The sequence below is a fragment of the Homo sapiens genome, chromosome 2, assembly GCF_000001405.40.
Source record: "Homo sapiens chromosome 2, GRCh38.p14 Primary Assembly".
In the NCBI taxonomy this organism is placed as follows: Eukaryota; Metazoa; Chordata; class Mammalia; order Primates; family Hominidae; genus Homo; species Homo sapiens.
Window position 1 is genome coordinate 62,803,795 of NC_000002.12, and position 25,379 is coordinate 62,829,173.

Here is a 25,379-nt window from a genome sequence, read left to right on the forward strand (position 1 = left end):
ATTTGTGTCTTTTATGCGGTACAGTGTAGTGGATAAATGTACAAGTTGTAGAGCCAGATTGCCTGTGTTAAGATTTCAGTTCCTCCACTCACTAGCAATGTAACCTTAGGCAAGTTTTGTAATCGTTTTGTGCCCAGTTTTCTATCTTTAAAATGGGAGTAGTAATACTATCTACTTCCTAGGATTGTTTTAAGGAACAAATGAGATATTACAGTAAAAGACTTAGACTACTGCCTGACAACTAGTAAGTACTCTATAAAAAGTAGCTTCTATTGTTATTTCTTCTGGTTTTATGCCTTATTTAGGAAGGTCTTCTGTGCCTCAAAAATGTAAAGATGTGTCACCACAGAAAAAATAGTTTGGCACAATTTTATCAGAGTATGGGATGCCTTTGGGGGAGAGACAGTTGATTTTCCTCATGTGGAATCAGAGACAGTGCTGCAAAGAGCTTTGCTATGTTAAAGAGTTTGAACTTGATTGTGGAAGCAGAGAAAAAAAACCTTGACAAATTACAAGCAAGAAAGAGTTGTATAAAAGATTCCTGCACTTCTCAATTCATGATGGAAGGAGAAGATTGTTCAGTAAATGGTACTGGGACTATTTGGGAAAAAATTACCTCCTCACCTCACTACAAAAGGAATTATAAGTGGATGAGAAAGTTTGTTGAAGAAAATCAATCAAAACTAAAAGAGAATAGAAGTGAATATTTATTAAATCGGTGGGTAAAGAAAAAACAGTGGAGAAGAAATCACAAAGGAAAATATAGATAGATTTGTTTACATAAAAATAAAAACTAACGTATATTTAAAATCATATTAAGACTCATTTTTGGCCAAGACCCACTTATTGATGGGAGTATAAATTGGTATTGTATAAATTGGGGATTGGGAGTACCAATCCCCAGCCCTCAGGCCATGGATTGGTACTGGTCCGTGGCCTGTTAGGAACCAGGCTGCACAGCAGGAGGTGAGTGGTGGGCAAGCAAGCTTTAACTCCCGAGCTTTGCCTCCTGTCAAATCAGTGGTGGCATTAGATTCTCATAGGAGTGTGAACCCTATTGTGAGCTGTGCATGCAAGGGATCTAGGTTGCACGCTCCTTATGAGAATCTAATGCCTGATGACCTGAGGTGGAACAGTTTCATCCTGAAACCATCCCCTGCCCTTCACCCCAGCCCTGGTCCTGGAAAACTGTCTTCCATGAAACTGGTCTCTGGTGCCAGAAAGATTGGGGACAGCTGTTCTAGAGGACAAATGGTAGTCATATAAAAAAGTTTTTAAAGTATACATGTTTTGGATCCATTTATTTGACCAACAGAAATTTATGTTAAGAAAGTAATTTAGGATCAATGTGAAGAATTGACTAAGAATTTTTCATCTAGTTATCACTTATGAAAAATTGAAAACAACCCAAATGTCCAAAAATATGGGATTAGTTAAATTATGTCCATAAAATGGAATATTGCCATTCTAAATTATATTATGGTATGGTATTTATTGATACAGAACTATATTTATTATATTTAATTTAAAAAGCAGTTTGCAAAAGAATGTATCCAATATATGATCCAGTTTCTTAAAAATAAATACAAATAAAGTAGAAAAACAACAAAATGTAAAAATACATATCTTTGGTGGACTTATGTATAGTCTTGTTCTTTATGTCTTTGTATTTTCTTTTTTTTTTTTTTTTTACAGTGAACCTGCATTACTTGTGTCTGTATATTTATTCATTTATTTTTTGAAACAGTCTTACTCTGTCACCTAGGATGGAGTATAGTGGCGCAGTCTTGGCTCACTGCAACCTCCTCCTCCAAGGTTCAGGCAATTCTCCCATCTCAGCCTCCTGAGTAGCTGGGACTACAGGTCCACACCACCACACCTGACTAATTGTTTTGTATTTTTGTTGGAGACAGGATTTCACCGTGTTGGCCAGGCTGGTCTCAAGCTCCTGACCTCAAACAGTCTGCCTGCCTCAGCCTCCCAAAATGCTGGGATTACAGGTGTGAACCACTGCACCCAGACTGTATATTTAAAGTGAGTTTCTTGTAGACAATATAAAGTTGGGTCTTGTTTTTTGAATCACTCTGACAATTGCTGTCTTTCAGTTGCTGCATTTAGAACCTTTATGTTCAAAGTGATCATTGATATCATCGAATTAATGTCTACTTCATTTGCTACTATTTTCTGGATTTTTTTTTTTCCTGAGTCAGGGTCTCACTCTGTCATTTAGGCTGGAGTGCAGTGGTGCAACTGTGGCTCACTGCAGCCTCGACCTCCTGGGCTCAAGTGATCATCCTGCCTCAGCCTCCCCAGGAGCTGGGAGTACAGGCATGTACCACCATGCTTGGCTAATTTTTTAATATTTTTTTTGTAGAGACAGGGTCTCACTATGTTGCCCAAGCTGATCTTGAACTCCTAGACTCAAGTGATCCTCTTGTCTTGACCTCCCAAAGTGCTGGGATTGCAGGCATGAGCCACTGTGCCCAGCCAGTTACTATTTTCTAATTGTTGTCCTTGTTCTTTATATCTGTTTTTGTCTTCCACTCTTCTACTTTTTGTGGTTTTTCGTTTGGTTTGTTTTTTTTTGTTTTTTTGAGGCGGAGTCTTGCTGTGTCACCCAGGTTGGAATGCAGTGGCGCAATCACAGTTCACTACAGCCTCAACCTCGTGGGCTCAAGAAATCCTCCCACCTCAGCCTCCTTCGTAGCTGGGACCATAGGCATGCACGACCACACCCCACTAATTTTTTCATAGAGAGGGTATCTCTGTATATTGCCTAGCTGATCTTGAACTCCTGGGTTCAAGCAATCCTCTTGCCTCGGCTTCCCAAAGTGTGGGATTACAGGTGTGAGCCACCACACTTGGCTTAATTGAGCATTTTCTATGATTCCACTTTCTTTCTTTTCTTAGCTTCTCAGTTAATTGTTAATTTTTTTTTTTAATTTTAGTTTTTTTAGTTTGGCTTTTAGTTCCCCCAGAGTTTGCAGTCTACAGCTAATCCAAGCCCACTTTCAAATAACACCATGCCACTTTACAGGTAGTGGAAGTACCTTATAATAACGCAGTAATCCTATTTTCTCTCTCTAGTCTCTTACATCATTGCTGCTATTCTTTTTACTTATATATAAGCATACAAAAACATTTATAGTCACCCCTCAGTATCTGCAGGGATTGGTTCCAGGACCCCCTGCAGAACCCACAGATAGGAAAAGTTGGCAGTCCTTATTTGTGAGTTTTCTATCCTGCAAATACTGTGTTTTCAATTTGCATTTTGTTGCAGATATGAAACCCACTGACACTGAGGGCTGACTATATTTACTGAAAAAATTTGTGTATAAGTGGATCCACACAGTTCAAATCTGTGTTATTCACGGGACAACATACGCATAACAATACGTGATCTATACAGTGTTGCAATTACTACTTTACACAAACTGATATCTATTGGATCAGTTAAGAATAAGAAAAAATGGCTGGGCGTGGTGGCTTATGCCTGTAATCCCAGCATTCTGGGAGACTGAGGCAGGCGGATCACCTGAGGTCGGGAGTTCAAGACCAGCCTGACCAACACGGAGAAACCCCCATCTCTACTAAAAATACAAAATTAGCTGGGTGCGGTGGCACATGCCTGTAATCCCAGCTACTTGGGAGGTTGAGGCAGGAGAATCACTTGAACCCAGGAGGCGGAGGTTGCAGTGAGCTGAACTGGCACCATTGCACTCCAGCCTGGGCAATAAGAGCGAAACTCCGCCTCAAAAAAAACAAAAAAAGAAAAATGTTAATTTTACCTTCATTTATTTCTCCTTTGGTGCTCTTCCTTTCTTTACATAGATTTTACTTTCTAACCTGTTATTTTTTTCTTCTCTCTAGAGAACTTCTTTTAACATTTCTTGCAAAGCAGATCTACTGGCAACAAAATATCTCAATTTTTGTTTGTCTGAGAAAGTCTTTATTTCTCCTTGACTTTTGAAGAATAAGTTCACAGGGTACAGAATTCTAGGTTGGTAGGCTTTTTCTCTCAAAACTTTAAAATATTTCACTCCACACTTGTTTGTATGGTTTTTGAGAAGTGGGAAGTAATTACTATATTTGTTTCTCTATAGATAAGGTGTTTATTTCCTCTGGCTTCTTTCTAGATATGCCGAACTGGACAATGAAGCTCAACCCTGTAATCCCAGCACTTTGGGAGGCTGAAGTGGGAGATCACTTGGGGCCAGGCGTTTATTCCAACCTGGCCGACAAAGTGAGACCCTATCTCTAAAAAAAAAAAAAAGAAAGAAAAGTACATTATATGCCTAGGTGTAGGTTTTTTGGCCTTTATCCTGCTTGGTGTTCTCTGAGCTCTCTAGATCTGTGGTTTAATGTCTGACATTAATTTGGGGGAAATTCCAAGTCATTATTATTTCAATTATTTCTTCTGTTCCTTTTTTTTTTTTTTTCCTCTGCTTCTGGTATTTCCATTATGCATATTGACTTCTTCTGTAGTTGTCCCACAGTCCTTGGCTACTCTATTTTTTTTTCCAGTCTTTTTTCTCTTTGCTTTTCATCTTTGAAGGTTTCTATTGTGCTGTTCTTGAGATCAGAGACTCTTTGCCAAGCAGTGTCTAGACTACTAATAAGCCCATCAAAGGCATTCTTAATTTCTGTTATAGTGTTTTTATGGTGTTTTTGATCTCTAGCTTTTCTTATTGGTTCTTTCTTAGATTTCCATCACTCTGGTCTTACAGGCTGTCTGCTTTATCTATTAGAGCCCTTAGCATATTAATTATCATTTTAAATTATTGGTCTGATTATTCCACCATCTCTTCTATATCTGAGTCTGGTTCTGATGCTTGCTCTGTCTCTTCAAACTGTGGGATTTTTTTTTCTTTTAGTATGCCTGGTGATTTTTTCTTGATAGCCAGATGTGATTTCCTGGGTAAAAGGAAGTGCTGTAAATAGGCCTTGAGTAATGTGATGGTAAGGTGTGGAGGAGGGAAGCATTCTGTATTCCTATGATTAGGTTTCAGTCTTAGAGTGAGCCTTTGCCTCTGTGTTATGAACTTCGTAAGTGTTTCTCAATATTTTCTTCTCCCTTCTTACGTGGGGCAGGATGGCTACAGTGGGCTGCAGTTGAGTATTTCTCTTCTCCCAGGTTAGACTCTGATAAAACCCCAGCAGGTTAGGCTCTGGTTAAACAGTTTCTCTTGAGGGCAGACCTTGGTAAGAGCAGAGTAGGCCAGGCGCAGTGGCTCAGGCCTGTAATCCCAGCACTTTGGGAGGCCGAGGCGGACAGATCACGAGGTCAGGAGTTCGAGAGCAGCCTGACCAGCATGGTGAAACCCTGTCTCTATTAAAAATACAAAAATTAACCAGGCATGATGGCATGTGCCTGTAATCCCAGCTACTTGGGAGGCTGAGGCAGGAGAATCACTTGAACCTGGGAGGCAGAGGTTGCAGTGAGCCAAGATCGCGCCATTGCACTCCAGCCTGGGCAACAGAGTGAGACTATGTCTCAGAAAAAAAAAAAAAAAAAAAAAAACAAGAAGAGCACAGTACCCTTGTGTTTTAAAATGGTTCCTCCTCCCCTCTCCCCCAACTGGAAGCCCAAGGGAATTTTCTACTGTGGTTACTGTGAGAACCTGATCAAGCTCTTGGAAGTAAAACTCACAAAAGCATGGGGTTGCCGTGTGACCTTATCCCCCTGGAGTTTTTTTGTTTTTTGTTTTTATAATTTCAATTTTTATTTTAGATTCAAGGGGTACATGTGCAGGTTTGTTGCATGGGTAGATTGTGTGATGCTAAGGTTTGGGGTATGGATCCTGTCACCCAGATAGTGAGGATAGTACCCAATAGGTAGTTTTTCACCTACCACCCTGTCACTCCCCCAACTAGTAGTCTGCAGTGTCCGTTGTTCCCATCTTTATGTCCATGTGTACTCAATGTTTAGTTCCCACTGATAAGTGAGTACATGCAGTATTTGGTTTTTGTTCCTGTGTTAATTTGCTTAGGATTTTGGCCTTCAGCTATATCCATGATTTGTCTACACCTAGCCTCTACAAAATACCTCCAAAAAAAATTTTTTTTTGCTGTCCTGTACAAAACTCAGAAATACCAAAAATACGTTCAACATAAAGATATTCACTGTACCACCCTTTCTAAGAGTGACAAACTCAAAGGGACATACATGTTTAATAATAGGGAATGGTTATGTAAATTTGTGGTAGAACCATATTACAGAATGATACACAACTTCTAAAATTTAGGTTTACAAAGTTCTAATGTTAAGTTTAAAAAATTAGATTTTTATAAGTGGTATCGTGTGAACTATTTTTAAAAGACTAGAGAAAATATCTCAAAATATGTACAGTGGTATCAACAAGTTGGTAAAGTTTTAAGGGATTCTTTTTTGTACCTCTCCGTATATTTATAATTTTCTGTGGTGAATTTTCTTATGTAATCAGAAAAAAAGTATAGCATTAAAAGAAAAGATGATCTCCCTTACAGAATCACGGAAGATGAAACCGAGGTGTGTGTGAGACTAGAGAAAGGGAGACATGTCCAGAGGCTTTAGCCTAGTGTGCTCACGGATGATGAGGCTTGCTTGAATTTAGGGAGAAGTGACAGTAGAGATGGGAAGAAGAGTCCAGATTCTGGAGAGATTTAGCAGTTAGAGCCAACTTGTTTTGATGAGTCTTGAGATTGAGAGGCTTGATGGTGGTATAATTCACTAAGATGAGAAACTAAGAGGAGAAACAGCTTAAGGAGTGGAGATGAGTTCAGTTTGGCTATGTTGAGTTTGTAATGTGGGTAAAATGAGCAATGGGCACTTGGGTGCTTAGATCGGGAGCTCAGGGATAGGTCTGTCTAGTCCTGAAGATTTAGGAGTCATTATCAGCACATGCATTCAAGTCCAGGCCGTGGAAGATGTAATACTTGGGTACCAGGTCTTATTTAAACTAACAGATTATTATATTTCTCTCAGAACATCTAATGGAAGCTAAGTTTAAGATCTGCTAGTTTTGTTTCTTGTTTAAGGTTAAATAAACAACTGCATAAAATAGTATGACTAAACTTTTTGTTGCTTTCTTTTGGGAACAGGGGAAGGGATTCATATAAACTTCCCTTAGCAACTTTGTAGTCAACTGGAGGTTAGGGTTGCTTTAATAATTTTTTTTGTTTTCAATTTGGACATTCTACAACCCATTTAGACCTTTCACCTAAACACTTTAAGTTGTATTTTAATGTATATCTGTAGTTTCCTTCTAAGAAGGTTGAGGATTTTTATTTGGATTTTTTAAGACAAAAGCTAGATTTTATTCTAAAATCAATATAATTTTTATAATGTTTATGAGTATGTATCTGAACCAATTTTTAATGTTGATTCTTTCTCTTTTACATTTGTGCTACCAAACTCTCTTCCATCCGACCATCTAAGTTGGTTATTTTAGCTGATATGGTTTCTAATTAAGTCTTTTTGGTTGAGAGAGCTTCCTGTGGCATGTCTGCTTCAGCATTTAATTGCTCCATGGACTCCAAATTAAATTTTATAGTATTCCATTTTGGTCTGCTGATGAAGCAGAGATGTTTTCAGCGTGGCCTGAGAAATGTGGTACTTGTGACAGCTTGGAGGACCAGCATCACAGTTTTGAAAAGTAAGAACTGTTTAACTTATAGATTGTCTTTTTATCATTTGACAGTAGAATTTAAAGTGTTATCACAGAGTTAAATGAGAGAATGCCAGGCCCATAATAGGCTCTTATTAATGATTTATAGAATAATGCAGAAATCATTAGTCTTGATAGTATAGCATGTCAAATTATTTTGTTTCAGAAAGAGTGAAGTCTTGAGAGTTTTTAGGTTGAAGTTGAGTGAAAAGTACCCACAAACAAATTTTATAACTGTTAGGTACAGCATAAGGTGTTCTTGCATTGGGGTGACAAGTTGGATTAAAAAACTTCTAAGGTCTCTTCTAATGATTTTGATTCTTGAGTCAGTAGAGAAAGTGGATATTTACAAAAATAATTGGGTGTGTGAATTCTTTACATTTTGAAATAATTCACATAATCATGAGACAGAGGACAAGATCTGATCCACTGAGACTTTTAAGTCCAGTGCTGTGGTTTGAATGTATCCCCCAAAGTTCTTGTGTTGGAAATGTAATCCCCAATGCAACAGTGTTGAGAGGTGGGACCTTTAAGAGGTGATTAGATCATGAGGGCTCTACCCTCACAAATGGATTAATATTATTATGGGAGTGGGTTCTGTATGGTGAGAGTGAGTTTGTTATAAAAATGAGTTTAGCCCCCTCTTTCTCTTGCTCTCATGCTCACTTTCGCTTTTCACAAGCTCTCTTGCCCTTCCACCTTTCACTTTGCGATAATGCAACAAGAAACCCCTCACCAGATGCTGGCTCCTTGAGTTGGTGTTTTTAGGCTCTAGAACTGTGAGCCAAATAAGTTTCTTTTCTTAATAAATTACCCACTCTCTGATACTCTTGTTACAGCAGCAAAAAAAAATGGACTAAGACAGAAAATTGGTACTGAGAAGTGAGATTGTGGCTATAACAAAAATACTTGAAAATGTGAAAGTGGTTTTGGAGCTTGGTGAAAGGTAGAGGCTGGAAGAATTTGGTGAAGCAGGCTAAAAAATGCCTAGATTCCTATGAATAGAGCATTGAGAGTAGTTTTGGTGAGGGCTCGGGAGAATACAAGAGCTGTAGGGAGAGCCTAGCTCTTTTTAGAGGTTATTTCAGCTGTGATTAGGATGCCAGTAGAAATGTGGACAGTAAAGGCTATTCTGAGGAGGTCTCAGAGGGAAATGAGGAAGAAGGTATTGGGTACTGGAATAAAGACCATCCTTATTATGAAGTTGCAAAGAATTTGGCTAAATTATGTCTATGTCCAAGGGCTTTATGGAAGGTAAAATTTAAGAGTAATGAACTAGGATATCTGGCGGAAGAAGTAACTAAGCAAAATATTCGAGGAGATGCATCGGGACTTTTCACTGCGTGTAGTGAGATGTGAGTGGAGAGAAATTATTTAAAGACAGAATTTATAATTAAAAGGAAAGCAGAATACAAAAAGTTGGAAGATTCATAGCCTGGCCATTTGAAGAGTGAAAAGGCATCTTTAGGAGAGCAAACTAAGAGTTTAGCTAAGCAACCACTTACTAAGGAGATTAGTACATTTGCTAAAGAGAGTACAACTAGAAGGGAGCCAGGTGCTATTCATCAAGATAATGAGAGAATAACCCCACAAGCAGTTTGATATTCCAGGCTGCCTGTCCCATCACAGGCTCAGAGCTCTAGGAGGGCAGAATGACTTCAGGGGATGGGCGTGGGGTGGCCTTAACAGGCTTACTGCCCAGGGCCACCTCAGTATTCTGTTCCCTGAATTCCAGCTCAGTGATTTTTAGCCACCCCAGCCATGGCTGTGGTTCAAGCAGGCCAAGGTACTGCTTGTGCTGCATCTCTGCAGGCTCAACCGGTAGGCCTTAGTGGCATCCATGTGATGTTAAGTCTGCAGGCCTGTAAGAATGCAAGAACTTTGGGGGCATGGATACCTCTACCTAGATTTCAAGGGATGTCATGGATAGCCTGGGGGCCCAGGAAGAAACTTGTTCCAGAGGTGAAGCCACCACAGAGAGTCCCCACTAGGGCAGTGTCTGGTGGAGCCATGGGAGCAAGGTTACAGCAGAGAGTCCTCACCAAGGTGATACTTACTGGACTGTGGGGGTGAGGCCACCTGAGATACGCCGAAACTGTGAGCTACCACTGTGCAACTCCAGCCTGGGAAAGCTGCAGGCGTGAAACTCCAACACATGAGAGCTGCTGGGTGGACTGAGTCCAGCAAAGCCATAGGGGCAGGGTTGCCTGAGGCCTATCCCTGTGGCTTTGCTCATGTGCCCCAGTGTGCCTAGGATGTGGAATGTGGAGCCAAAAGCGATCATTCTTTAGCTTTAGGACTTAATGTTGTTTTCCTTGTTGGGTTTTAGACTCTCTGGGAACTAGTTACTCCTTTCTTGTTGCCTATTTCTCTCTTTTGAAATGGGAATGTCTATACTGCATCTGTCCCACCATTGTATTTTGGAAGTAGATGACTGGTTTAATTTCACAGGTTCACATCTGGAGAGGAATTTGCCTTATAGTGAATCATGCCTTGAGTCTCACCAATATCTGCTTTAGATGAGACTCTAGACTTTGGACTTTTGAATTAGTGCTGGAACCGGTTAAGACTTTGGGGTTATTGGGATGGAATGAATGTATTTTGCATGTGAGAAAGACATGAATTTTGGGGGCTGTGGTGGAATGCTGTAGTTTGAATGTGTCCCCCAAAGTTCCTGTGTTGGAAAAGTAATCCCCAGTGCAACAGTGTTGAGAGGTGGGAACTGTATGAGGTGAATAGATCTTGAGTCCTCTGCCTTTATGAATGCATTAATTTCATCATCTTGAGAGCATGTTCTTTATTGGGAGAGTGGGTTTGTTATAAAAGCAAGTTTGGTCCCTTATTGCCTGCTCTCTTGTCCTTTGGCATTCTGCCATGGGATGACACAGCAAGAAGATTCTCACAAGATGCTGGCCCCTTGACATTGAACTTCCTGCCCTCCAGAGCTGTGAGAAATAAATTTCTTTTCTTTGTAAATTACTCAGTCTCTGGTATTCTGTTATAGTAGCACAAAATAGATTAACACAGCCAGCATTAATCTACTCACATATTCTTAGAATGCCAATCAGAATTATGGTTGCCCATCACTTTATTTTGTGGTACCCTGATTCAGTAGTACTCAGAACAGAACTTAAGAGTTCTGATGGATAAGGGCATGAACAGAATCAGGCACTAGACTGAGACTCTAGAAGGGTATGGTGCTGCAAGCAGTGATTTATTATCAGGTACTTACTATTGGCCTATGGTGATGTTAAGGCATAGCTTCTAAACAGACAAAACAACAAAGGCATGACGTGTTGCATTGGTAATCACAGGTCCACATCTAGAGAATTCCAATAAAATAAATTTGAAACAATACTACATTGAAGACTTCAGGTCAAAGTGAGACAGGTGAACTTTGTTGTGATGTTTATAAAAATGCTCAGTTCTGTTCTTATCAAATTTAAATGAAGAATTCTGCTTTTGGAAATGTGATGGGCTAGATAGCATGAATAATCCATATTGGAAAATAGCTAAAAATAGGTACAATATGAAAAAAATCTTTTAAAATGCATCCCTGAAATGGCACTTATAGAAGCAATCCAAAGACATAAAACAATAATAGTAATAACTGGAAGGGGAAGTCCAGAAGATAAGGGTTCATCATAGCTTTCCCACTGAAGGTTTCTACTGAACCTATGATTTACTGCTTTTACCTCTCCATGGAGATGTAGAAAAAGTCTAGCATCTCCCATTTCTCCAAGGTGGAAGGTCTAATAAGACCCCCTTGTTGCATAAAGCTAAGACCCCAGATTTGTACTATCACTGTAAGGATGAAGAAGAAATAAACTCACTGCATAGAAACGAATGAGGAAATCTGCCACTTCTATTCTTAGCATTAGTTGGTCAAGGCAGTATCACCCTTGAAAATTTATAACCAGGAGCTAGCCCTCACATGGGTTTCATTTAAGACTGTTCTTGATGTGGTAAAATTATTAATTTCATTACATGTCAACACTAGAGTATTAGTCTTTTTAATATGCTGTGTGACAAAATGAAAAGTATGCATAAAGAAATTATGCTGCATTGCAAAGGAGAAAGTTTTTCAAGAAAAAGCACTTGTCCGATTACTTGAGCTTTAAACTAAAGTAGCCACTTTTTTCCTGGAACACCACTTTTTACTTGAAAAAACTAACTGTGGTTATTCACCCTTGGGTATTTGGCAAATGTTTTATTGAAACTGAGCAAAGTGAGCCTGCCACTTAAAGGTGGGCAATTGAAATTATATGTCAATGACAAAGTTTGAGCTTTCAATTGAAAATTAGAGACCTTGAAATTGATAGTTTCCCAGTGCTTGAAGATTTTTCTGATGGAATAGGTGAAGATATAAACAAATATGATTTTTTGGAGGTATTATATACTGCAGTGTGTCAATATCTGCATAATTCAGAGAATCAATATTTTTCAAATGACTATAATGTTGCAAAGTCACGCCTGGATAAAAGATTCATTCAGTATGCATGATAGAGCAATGGATTTTAATGTAACAGTTTAAGAAGTTCATTGATAAAGTTTCAGCCTCTATATTACCATTAGCCTTTAAGAAACTACTACTTGTTGAGTTTCGGTATAAAATCAAATACGAAGACTTGAAATTATCTGAAAAGAATAATTAAAATACTCCCATACTTTTCCAGCTACATATCTGTGTGATACTTGATTTTTTTCTTCATATACTTCAACCAAAACAGTCTGTATTACACAGATTGAATATAGGACTAGAGCTGTCTGTCAAACCAGACTTTAAAGAGACTTTAGAGAGAGATAAAGACATTGAAGAGATTTACAAAAATGTAAAATAGAGACACTCTTCTTATTAAATTATTTTCTATAGAAAGTATATTTATTCTTCATAAAACATGTTAATATATGAACTTGTTATTTTTAAATGAATGAAATGTTTTCTAGATTGTTAGCTTTTAATAGAGTAAATATTGATAGATACAACCCACATAAACAGAAGCTCTTTGGAGTTCTCAAATAAAGTGTATAAAGGGTCTTAAGACAAAAACCCTTGAGAACTGTTAGTCTAAACTCTCCAGGAAAAGCCAGTGATTATCAGACTGGATTAAAATTGTTTTTGGATATATGCTGTTTACAAGAGACAGTTCTAAAATAAGAGGAGGTTAAATGTCAGAAAGAGGAAGAGGAGCCTGTAAAGAAGACTGTGGCTTCAGTTAGGGGATAATCTGTGTATGGAGTTGTCATGGATTTAGCTAGTTTAAGACGTGGCTCTATTGTCTCCTGACTCTCCTAATTCTATAATGTTTCTGGCATCTGATTTGCCCACAGTGCTTTTGGAATAGCTTTCCAAGGTATTACTGAAGTGGCTCACTGCCTTCATTCCCTTTTCCCCCCACATAAACCAAATGAAGGAATACCTATTTTGCTCCATTTCTCCACACACCCAGGGTCCCTTCTACCTGTTTATCCCCGTTCTGGCTTGGAGAAACCTCTGCCCAGCTGTGCAAATGGAAACAGACTGTACAGTTCTTGTTACCTCACATCTTTTTCTCGTGTTTAGGAGAGGTATTATAAAGGAATGTGCAAAAAATCTTGAACAGAAGAAACTAATGATGTAAAGGTACTTCAAAGTGTTGTAAGTCCTAGAATTACACTTCATTCACTTAAGAAGTATTTATTGAGTAGTGGCTATATGCTATGGCTCTAGGGCTAGGATACAGTGGTGAGCAAGTAAACAGTATTTGCATATTTGCTCATGTAAGTTAAGGAGAAAAAGTAAAGGGGAATATGAAATGTGTATTGGGAGTGTGGTTGAAATTTTAGGTAAGGTGGGCAGAGAAGGCCTCTCTGGGAAAGTGAGTTTTAGTAAAAGACTTGAAGGAAGTGGGCGAGCTAGCCATATAATATCTATGAGAAGAACATTCCTAGTAATGGAAATAGCAAATGCAGAGGCTCTAAGGGAGATGCATACCTGGTGCATTGGAGAAAGTAAGGAGGCCAGTATATTGGGGCAGAAAAAAAGATGGAACAATAGCATAGTAGATAAGATCAAAGAGCAAAGTCAGGAAGGCCTGGTGATATAGGGCCTGTCGGTCCAGTAAGGGCTTTTTGGCTTTTGCTGTGGGGCAATTGAAGGCTTTTGAGTAGAGGAATGAGATCATCTGGCTTTACCAGGATCATCATAGTTTCTGTGTTCAGAATAATTGCAAGGCAAAGGCAGGAGCAGCAAGATTAGTTTAAAGGGTATTAATCCAGTTGAAAGGAAATACAGTATCAAGTAAATATACAGTGTGCTCAGAATTGTGTGAGAGTGTGTGCGTGTTCAGAGGGAGGGGTGGTAAATTGAAAAAAGAGGTTTATTATAAGGTTTGTTACTTGGAATTTTGCCCAGATTATGAGCAGCTCCTCAACTCTTTCACTTATTTGTTCCTTGATTCGTGCACTTTAGTAAAATATTCCATGATCTCACATTTGAAAATTTCTACTCCTACTTTCCTTATCACATAGAAAATATAATAATTCGGTGATACAAGTGATTTTACATAAAAATGCTCCTGTCATAAAAGTGGACAGCAGTATATACACAGCAGTTAAATATTTTTTAAGTACCCCTGGAACATTTGTGAAAAATACAGGTGTACCATTAAAAAAACTTTTTAAATGGTATGCCTGTATAGGGCAGTAACATGAGTGGAGCTTGCAGGCTGGAAGTTGCTCTGGTTAAGTCAGTGAGTGAGTGGTGAGTGTACAGTAATGTCTTAGGCCTTCACATTTACTCACCACTCACTCACTGACTTAACCAGAGCAACTTCCAGTCTGCAAGCTCCATTCATGTTAGTGCCCTATACAGACATACCATTTAAAAAGTTTTTTAAATGGTGCACCTGTATTTTTACTGCACCTTTTCCAAGTTTACGTATGTTTAGATGCACAAAACCTACCATTGTGTTAGGATTGCCTAAAGTATTCAGTACAGTAACATGCTGTACAGGTTTGTAGCTTCAGAGCAATAGGCTATACCACATAGCTTAGGTGTGTAGTAGGCTGTACCACCTAGAGTTGTGAAAGTACACTCTTTGATGTTCACACAATGATGCATTTCTCAGAACGTATCCCTGTCATTAAAGGATGCATGACTGTATAGCCTTAACTGCTTATATCAGCAAAGAAGAACTGCTCAAAATTCAGGAGTTAGAACAGAATATACCCAAGGAAAGTGGGAGGAAGGAAATGATAAAGATGGCAGAAACTACTGAAATAGAAAACATTGACTAGAAAGAATCACAAAATCACAAGTTGTTGATTTGGAAAGTCTAATGAAATAACCAATTTATAGCAAGAATCATTTGGGAACAAAGGAGAAAAGGCACAAATAAATAGTATTGGTAATGAAAAATGTACAAGACCATATATTTTGCAGAGATCAATGTAATAAAAAGATATATTAAATTATTGTACTTTAGTAAATTTGAAATCTTAGATGAGATGGATAAATTCCTGGGTGGGGAGAAAATATTTAAACTCACTTAGGGAGTCTTTAAGTCTTTCAGAGAATGGGAAAGGATGCCGCAGCTCATTTTATGAGGCTAATGTAACCAGGGAGCATAAAAGAAAGGAAAATCATAGGCCTATATGCTCCATGAATATACAGAAATCCCATGCAAAACATTAGACCTCCAAAGCCAGAAATATATTTTAATATAAAGAAGTACATCACGACCTGGTTGGCTATCTCCAAGGAATGTGGAGTTGCTTTAATTTTGGAAAAATCTATTAATTTACCTCATAAGAGATTAAAGTTTAACAAAAAATCTAAAGAATGTGGGAGAATGGGAAACTCTTAGAAAGTACAAACTAATACAGCCTTTTTGGAATACAATTTGGTATTTTCCGATAAAGGTGTACATGTACATATCCTATGACCTGGCTATTCCCATCCTAGAAATATTTCCCAGATAAATTATTGTGCATGTGTACCAGGATATAGGTGTAAAAATATTTGTAACAGCTTTGTTAATAATTCCAAACCTGCAGCCGGGCACAGTGGCTCATGCCTGTAATCCCAACACTGAGAGGCTGAGGCAAGCAGATCACCTGAGGTTGGGGGTGTGGGAGTTTGAGACCAGCCTGGCCAACATGGTGAAACCCCGTCTTTACTAAAAATACAAAAATTAACTAGGCATGGTGGTGCACACCTGTAATCCCAGCTACTTGGGAGACTGAGGAAGGAGAATTGCTTGAACCCAGGAGGTGGAGGTTGCAGTGAGCTGAGATTGTGCCATTGCACTCCAGCCTGGGTGACAGAGCGAGACTCCAGCTCAAAAAAACAAAAAAAAAAAAACCCGCGACAACCCATATGTCCATCAACAATAAAATGGATAGATAAATCGTAGAAATTCATGTAATTGAATATTAGGAGCGATGAAATTTAATGAACCACAGATGTACATGTCAGCATAGATGAATATTAAGAACATGATGTTGAGGCTGGGCGTGGTGGCTCATGCCTATAATCCCAGCACTTTGGGAGGCCGAAGCGGGCAGATCACCTGAGGTCAGGAGTTTGAGACCAGCCTGGCCAACATGGTGAAATCCCATCTCTACTAAAAATACAAAAATTAGCCAGGCATGGTGGCAGGTGCCTGTAATCCCAGCTGCTCTGGAGGCTGAGGCAGGGGAATCACTTGAGCCCAGGAGGCAGATGTTGCAGTGAAATGAGATCGTGCCAATGCGCTCTAGCCTGGGCAACAAGAGTGAAACTCTTGTCTCAAAAAAAAAAAAGAAAAAAAAAAAAAAGAACATGATGTTGAAGATAAGAAACAAATTTTTAAAATGGTAATTTTATTTCCTTATATAAAAGTAAAAAGACTCACAATACTGTACAATATAAATCTTTTTTCACTTTTTAGTTGTGGTAACTATATATAACAAAATTTATCATTTCAGACATCTTTAAGTGTACAATTCAGTGCCATTGAGTACATTCACAATATTGTATAACCATCACTACTGTCCATTTCCAGAACTTTTTCATCATCCCAAGTAGAAACTATCTGTACCCATTAAAAACTCCCCATTCAACCCTTTCCCCAGCACCTGGTAACCGCTATTCTGCTTTCTATTTGCCTATTCCTCATATAAGTAGAATCATATAATATTTGTCCTTTTGTGTTTGTTTTTTTCCACTTACCATAATGTCATCAAGGTTCATCTATATTGTTGCATACGTCAAAATGTCCTTTTTAAGGCTGAATAGTATTCCATTGGGTGTGTGTGTGTGTGTGTGTGTGTATAATATATATATATATATATATATATATATATATATATATATATATGCACATCTAGTTGATCCATTCATCAGCAGGATATTTTCAAAAAGTGAAGGGAAAGAGTAATAAAAAATTTAGAATACTGTTTCCTTCTGGAGGAAGGAATGGAAAGGATACAATTTGGGAGGGGACATGCAGCTTGTAAGGTACTGGCAATGTTCTGTTTCTCAAGCTGGGTGGTGAGTATAGGATATTCATTTTATTATTCTTAAGTTTTATGCTTTATTATGTATATTTCATAATTTTAAAATTCAAATATTAATGCCATTAGTTTAATTTTTAGTGTCTTGTAAGAGACCTGATAAAGTATTTGTATATGACAGAATCTTATAGAACAGTCTATGTAATAAAGCCCTGAAAAATTATAAAAATCTAAGTAAGTTTCTGCACCTTTACCTCTAGTCCTCTTGCATGGGAGAAAGGATTACATTTCTATCATGTGGTTTATTTAATAAAATATTGTAATAAAGTCAGCCAAATATTTTAATAGGAGAGGCATTACATTAATTTTACTTATTGTGGGGTTCATAATAGATGAAAAAGCATACAATGAACTATTATTCTGTAAGGAAACTAACTTGAATAATTTGGACAAGAAATGTCCTCTCCATCTTCTTAGAATATGAATTAAAGCCTGGTGTGGTAGCTCACGCCTGTAATCCTAGCACTTTGGGAGGTTGAGGTAGGAGGATCGCTTGAACCCAGGAGTTCAAGACTAGCCTGAGCAACATAGTGAGATCCCATTCAACAAAAAATAAAAAGTGAACTAGATGTGGGTGGTGTAGTCCCAGCTACTTGGGAAGCTGAGGTAGGAGGATCGCTTGAGCCCTGTAGGTTGAGGCTGCAGTGAGCTGTTTTTGCACCACTGCACTCTATCCTGGGTGACAGAGTGAGACCGTGGCTCAAAAAAGCAACAACAGCAACAACATCAAAAGAATATGAACTAACAGTTATGCCATTGAACTACATTGCTTGCTACCATTATGTTTTATACCGTGTTCTTAGTTTTAGGGAGGAAAAAGTGGTGAAATTATCTAAATGCTTTTTTTAAGTATAATTTTTTATTTTTTATTTTTGTGGATACATAGGTGTATATGTTTCTGGGGTACATGAGATGTTTTGATATAGGAATGCAATGCATAATAATCACATCATGGAAAATGTGGTGTCTTTCCCCTCAAGCATTTATCCTTTGTGTTACAAACAATCCAATTCTTTCCGTTATTTTTAAATGTAAAGTTAAATTATTACTGACTATAGTCACCCTGTTATGTTATCAAATACTAGGTCTTATTCATTCATTCTAACCAAAAGTTTTTTTTTAACGATGTTTAAAAATATTTATAAAGAAGTCCTGAGTCTCAGAATATGTTTATTCATTTTTATAATCAGTTCATTTCTTATTAGAAAAATTGTAAGATCTTTCCCCCTTTATGCTCATGTACAGAGAAAACATTTATTCACCTGTTGCTTGCATTGTTACTACTTGAATAGCAATGAGAGTCCATAGAGGTGGAGAACTCATTTTAGGTTTGGCTTGAACCTAGTGGGGGTCCATGCATAAATTTTAATTATGTAACTACACTATTTTAAAGTAAACATTCTGCATTGAATTGTGCAGTTATCTATTTTTTCTCCTTTCAAGATTGGTGACCCTGGATGGACTATTTATTAGTGTAATGAACCAGGTTAAATGGTCCATAAAAATTAGTAAACACTGTTTATTGAGTGCTGACTATATGCTAAATACTCTAATTATTTTCATGTGTTATTGCAAGAATTTCTCTAGGACATATTTATAGGATGAGAATTGTTGAGTTGTTAAGATTTGCATGTATTCAACTTTACGAGGTAATGTCAGATTGTTTTTCAAAGTGGCTGTATCAGTTGAAACTCTCCAGCAGTATAAGAGAGTTTGCATTGTTTCACATTCTTATCAACACTTGGTAATGTTCAACTTTACAAAATATTTGCCAATCTGAAAGTGTGAAACTGAGGCTTAGATACATGAAGAAATCTGCCAAAGATTAACCAATGAATAAGTGCTGGTGCTACAGTCGAATCCAGGTTTGTCTGATTCCAACCGCAATAGACTGTATTTCAAAGAAATGGAAATATATAGGCTAAGTCTTTTTATAACAATGAGAATAGTTATGAAAAATAAGTGACATTTTTAAATTTAAATAATTTTGTGTAAGAACTTAGGGGAAGTGTTTCTGAAAATGTGATTTTAGATTAACTGAATCAGAATTGCCTGGTAGTAGTGGTGTGTATGTGTGGAGGGGGGATATTACTTTTCAGTAATCAGATTCCTAGGTCCATCTTTAGGTCTACTAATTTAGGATCTCTAGGGGTGGGATTCAGGCATTAACATTTTTAATAATGTTTCTTAGTTTTGTTTTTGGTTTTTAATAAACATTGAAGTTTAAGAACCTTTGCTTTAGGGATTTTGAACTAATTTCGAAAATACTGCCAGATGCACATACGAACTGATGTTTAAACATAGGCCCAGAGACAGTTATTCAGACAGACATTCAGCACTCACTTTTGTATTGACTCTTATCTCCAAACTTTCATTTTCTACTAGCTCCTCTTACTCTTTTTTCTCTCATTCTTGTTCTTTTGTCCAACCCACATGTGATCTGAAGTAGCATTAGGACCCTGGCAGCAATAATAGTAATTCTCTCTAAACTCTCTCTCTCTCCCTGGCTGATCCCTAGTCCCTTTAAGAAGGACTGTAGGATCCAAAAGACATGCTTGTTTGAGTGCAGTTATTTCATTCCTCTTATAGAACCGATTATAGCAATGATGTCCATCTTGGGTGGGTACAGATTTAGACTTGGTGGTTATAAAGAACAAAAATTCATGGAGTGGGGTTAGAGCTGTGAAAGATCCCCATATTTTCCCTCATTACTATTCTTCTTAAAATGTATTTTCTGAGATAGCTAATTTTAAGGAGAGAACAATGTCTGAGGTAGCTGGAGAATTACTAGGAACACCATTCAAATTCCTTTTCCCAAAAGGGAGACATTATATCAAGGACATAGTATATTAAGGACACAGACTCTAGTGAGGTCCTGTGTTAATTAGTATTGGGAATGGATATCATAGACTAAAAAGAGCTCTAGTCTACTCATCTGCCCAGACCTCAGAAAGGGCTCTTTGCATTGTTCCTAAGCAAATAATTGCTTAAGTAGTACAGCTAATTGTATTTAGAATTTGGTAGCTTTTATTACCTATTGTTTCAAAGACACTGATTTACCAGATGCTTAAAAAACACATTTTTGTTTGCCATGAACCTGAGTTCAGCAGAAAAATTTTTCTACATACTTTTTATTCTAAAAAATGAAATTGGCAGAATATGATAAAAAATCTAGACTTTTGCAGAAGCATTCTTAAACTAAGTTTTCAAAATTATGCTCATTTCTAAGTTATCTTAATTTTTATAGCTTATTCAGTTATAAAATTAAATAATTATATTAAGGGATCAATGTCATACTTTGTGAAACAGATTTGTTTAACAAAAACTGAAAATATGTGACAGTTTATATGTCAAGCTTTCAAAACAGAGGCTTTAAATCCTATATTATATGTAGAAATTGTTAGCTATTCTAAAGGTACAATGAGAGATTATTGTTCATATCAGTGTAATAAATTGATACTCTCTGATCATACTTTTTCATTTTGCTCATTGTCAGAACCTTGAACCTTAATCTTATTCTTTGATTGACAGTAGCAACCAGGGAAAGAACACTTGTATTGTTTGGTATAGTCACATCTGTTCAACTTGATTCAGTTGAGGATATTTGCATATTCTTAAGTATTTCTTCTGAGAGGGCTTAAATCCTTCTCAAGTGCTTGATGCATTTTTGAAATTCATTCATAAGGTATCTACATGCACTAATAGTTCTGTATATTATTGCTGTGCATAATCTGACAGATAAGGCCACATTTTAAAACAAGGTATTCTTTAGGGATGCTACATTACATTTTTACTTGTTTCGCTGGGTAGAAATATCAGGGTTTTTTTTAAAGGCTGTTTTAATATTTTGATTAAATTAGTATGTCCTTATTTTAGGCAAATTTTTCAAACATAGGAGAAATAAAGATTTATTAAATAATAGTTCAAAGGTATTAATGGTAGTTTTTCTTGTCTTGGTTTGAAAATTGAATAATTTTATGGAAAATAATTATAGAACTTGAATGGATTTCTGTTTAGCCTCCTAATTTTATGGAGAAGGTTACTGAGACTCAAGTTTTCTGACTTGCTCAAGGTCACACAGCTTGAAAATTAAGGTTTAAATTTTGGTCTTAACTCCCATATCAGTAAACTACAAGAAATAATGGTACATGATTTCTGATTTATGTTATTTACACATTATCCTACATCTGAAATTTTCCCTTTGCCATAGAACCTGCAGAGATTATGTCTTATTCATCATATCTCCCCAGAATTTACACGATGTCTTGTACAAAGTTAATGCACAACCATTATTTTGCTCTCCTGTTTTCATTGTTCTCCTAGGCTATTCTGTAAAGTATAGTTAAGAAACATAATAACTTTAGTAATGGAATGTTAAGTACTTTTGATAGCAAATAGGTTTCATTTTGTGTTCTATTTCTGATGAATTGGCAATAGCAATGTTGAGAAGAATTCTGAGATCTGCTGGAGTCAGTTAGTGGTGTCTGGGCATAGGATCAGAAAGCCAACTGTTTCTTTTATGATATATGTGCTTTTATGGGAGAGACAACTATGGACTGAACAATAAAAAAAAGGCCTGGGGAAGAAATAAGACTCAAATTACAGGATACATAGAATTCAGATGTTGTAGACAGAAAAAAAAAAAAGAGGTAGAATGCCACCAAGGCTGGAAGTTCTATAAATAATCGTAGGCGTTTAAAAAGGAGAAATATCATTAGGTTACATTAAATATTATCAAAGCAAAGCAAATAACTGTTGAGTATTTGTTGATGCCTAGCCCTGTATTGGATCCTCTTCTCATAGTAACCCTGGAGACTTTCTGTCCTAGTTTTCATTCCTTGCTTCTCCTTTTCTGGTGTTTAGGGTTGTTCTAATCTTCTCTTGTTTCTGCCTGGGTTACCGCTTTCCAATTGCATATCTGCCTTACTTATAAATGTAACAACTGTGATACAACTTCATTGTAATTTTATTTAGTTATTGTGTGATAGGAATGTAATAGGAGAAGGAAGTTTTCAATTATTATTTGATTTATTATTAAAATCGTACTTTAAAATGTTTGGCTATAAAATAACTCAAAATTACATACTTTTTTTTTCTTTAATCTTCCAGGAATCCCCTTCTGGTCGAAGGAAAGCTCTTGCTACTAGCAGCATCAATATGAAACAGTATGCAAGCCCTATGCCAACTCAGACTGATGTCAAGTTAAAATTCAAGCCATTATCTAAAAAAGTTGTATCTGCCGCTCTTCAGTTTTCATTATCTTGCATTTTTCTGAGGGAAGGAAAAGCCACGTAAGTTTCTTTTGTCAAATAAGCTTCCTTACATTGTGTTTCAGTACACCATAGCTTTTGACTCAGTAGACTGGCAATAGTTGAACATCTTACAGCATACCAATCATTTTTGCCATTCTTTGTTTCAGAGGCTGAATTAAGGGAACTCCTTGTTACTTATAAATAGTCTCTTTTGACTCCAGAGAATGTACAGTAATATAAACGTGAGCACAGCTGGTTTCAAAATTTAAATTGTATATTTTAGGATATTATAAGTGTTTTATATTTCAGTGTCTTCAGTGTAGTAGTCTGTACTCTGAGGTACACACAGTTCAATGTGTAGAACTGTTTGATGCAATTGAGACATGAGAGGAACCCAAAACGAAAAGTTTAGGATAAAAGGGATGAAATAATTAAGGGAACTCTTGCCAAATCATATTCCTTGGCTCAACCTTCCAAAAATCATGTAGGAAGGTACAGTTAGATAAGCAGTTTATTGTAATCATTTTCTTTTCAAAAATCACTTCTTAAGCACTGAGTCAGCATTGCACAAAGATTTCTAGATTCCATTCTAGTCTCTTATAAGAGTAAAATTCTAACTTGACAAAATGAGGTGAACATACCTACAAAGCGGGGAAAAAAGTAAGATTCACCCTGGTTATTGCATACAATCAAGTCAGGGGTAAGTGAATGTTACGGGTGTTGTGAAAGGGTTCGTACCTACATGGAGTGGAAGATGAAGAGACAGGAGAAATGGAAATTCTATACCTAGACTTAAAAGGTGAGGGGAAAGAGACAGCTGTGAACATTTTATCTAATCTGAATCACAGTTCTGAATGTATTTGACCTAGTGGAAGGTGGTTACTATAATTGGCCATGTCTACTTGACTGATTAGACTGGATTCTGTGCGTCAGTCAAAATGAGATGTTTGACACTCATCTACATGGCAACACATGACTTGTGAGATAACAGTAAGCCTCCTCTCTGGCAAGTTGGATTCTAAGCCAGTGTGGTAGAGAGACAGTGCAGAATGGAAGCATCTTAGTCTTTCATCTCAGGACCTTAAATTATAGACTTAAATACTGAGTAATTAAAAATAAAGATCTTACCCTGAAGTTTAAGCCAAAACAAAAGGAAAGGAAACACAGGAAGAAGAGACACAAATTCAGAGAAGATCCTTTGAGGGTGGACTTCCTTCCACTGGGCAAAAGCTGTAAGTGAATCAGCACCATTCACGGGAATCTGGGTGAGAGGAAATTCAGCCAAACCAAATGTCTCAATTTGAATTGAAAAGGAATTCTTTCCGAACATCCTAAACTGCCTCTCTACCTCCTCCTTCTTTGCCTGGTTACCTTCCCCAAAGAAAAATGTTCAGGTTTAAAATGTGAGGAAATTAAAATGGTATGCAATTAAGCAAGTTAACTTTTTTTTTTTTTTGAGACAGAGTCTCGCTCTGTCACCCAGGCTGGAGTGCAGTGGCACGATCTCGGCTCACTGCAACCTCCACCTCCTGGGTTCAAGTGATTTTCCTGCCTCAGCCTCCCGAGTAGCTGGGATTACAGGTGTGTACCACCACACCTGGCTAATTTTGTATATTTTTGGTAGAGACGGTGTTTCACCATGTTGGCCAGGCTGGTCTTCAACTATTGACCTCAAGTGATCCGCCCACCTCGGCCTCCCAAAGTGCTGGGATTACAGGTGTGAGCCACCGCGCCCAGCCAGCAAGTTAATATTTTAAGAATGACATTTTGAAATTGTCTCCTGTTGATAAGAGAGCAATTTGTAAGACATTCACGTAAGGTAATAACTTTTTTGCTCATGCAAACTTTGTGTCACTAAATTTATTTTAAAAAGGGGAAATGACTTTGTTAACTCTAAGGCTTATATGAGATAAGATGCAAAGAATTTTTTAAAACCAGTTTAGTCTGTAAAGCCATACTATATTTAGAAGATAACGGCGTATTAAGCATTACTTTACAAAGAAACAGTATCTTAATTTGGCTTTCTGAATTTGGGGGAAGTATAGCAAAGTAAAAATTAATTTGTAAATAATAGATACATATTTCATTCACTGTAGTTTATTTGAAATTTAAGGTGAAAATAATACATGATGAAAATATAAATGATTTGACTTTGAGTACTTAATGTAAACTTTATAAATTTGTACTTAAAATACTTAAAACATTTAAAAAAAGTTCAGATTTATCAAATACATGGTATTTAACATACAATCATCCAAGGTAGTTTTTTTTATCTTGTAGCTCTTAAAAAGGTTAGACTTTGTTTTTAAAGTGCTTTTCCTGCTATAATAGTTTCTTAACTTTTGGGCGGTTATGGCCCTGTTGGAAAAACAATATACTTAAGCAAGATTTAAGTGTGATTTACAGGGGTTTGCCACTTTGTTTCCCTCTTACCCACAAACTCAAAAGCCTACGTGGACTTCAGATTTAAAATCTTGTTCTAATTCCTTTGGGCAGTTTGAATATTTAAACTCTAGATCTTATCTGATTTGCAAACTGTCTCACTGTTTTTGAAACAAGTTTTTGTTTCCAGACTTAATTCTCAGGAAACCATACTTTAATTCCATGAAGAAAGTTTTAGGCCAGGCACAGTGGTTCACACCTGTAATCCCAACACTTTGGGAGCCTGAGGTGGGACAATCACTTGAGACCAGCCTGAACAACATGGCAAGACCCCCCTCTCTACAGAAATTTTAAAAATTAGCTGGGCATTGTGCTCTACACCTGGGGTCCCAGCTACTGAGGAGGCTAAGGCGGGATGATTGCTTGAGCCCAGGAAGATGCAGTGAGCCATGTTCACACTGCTGTACTCCAGCCAGCCTGGCTTATAGAGTGAGACCCTGTCTTAAAAAAAAGAAAAAAAAAAAAGAAAAGAATATTTTAGTCTTCCATATATATCTACAGC

General features: G+C 37.2%; 1 protein-coding gene across 52 annotated transcripts in view; it reads left to right on the plus strand.

The window, feature by feature from the left end:
* Positions 1-25,379, plus strand: part of EHBP1 (EH domain binding protein 1) — a 372,610-nt gene that overhangs the window by 129,917 nt on the left and 217,314 nt on the right. For all 52 annotated transcript variants that reach the window (XM_047443744.1, NM_001142615.3, XM_011532718.4 and 49 more), the window contains one exon: positions 22,293-22,474. In XM_047443744.1, the coding sequence (XP_047299700.1) occupies positions 22,293-22,474 (182 nt within the window). The remainder of the gene's footprint in view (positions 1-22,292; positions 22,475-25,379) is intronic.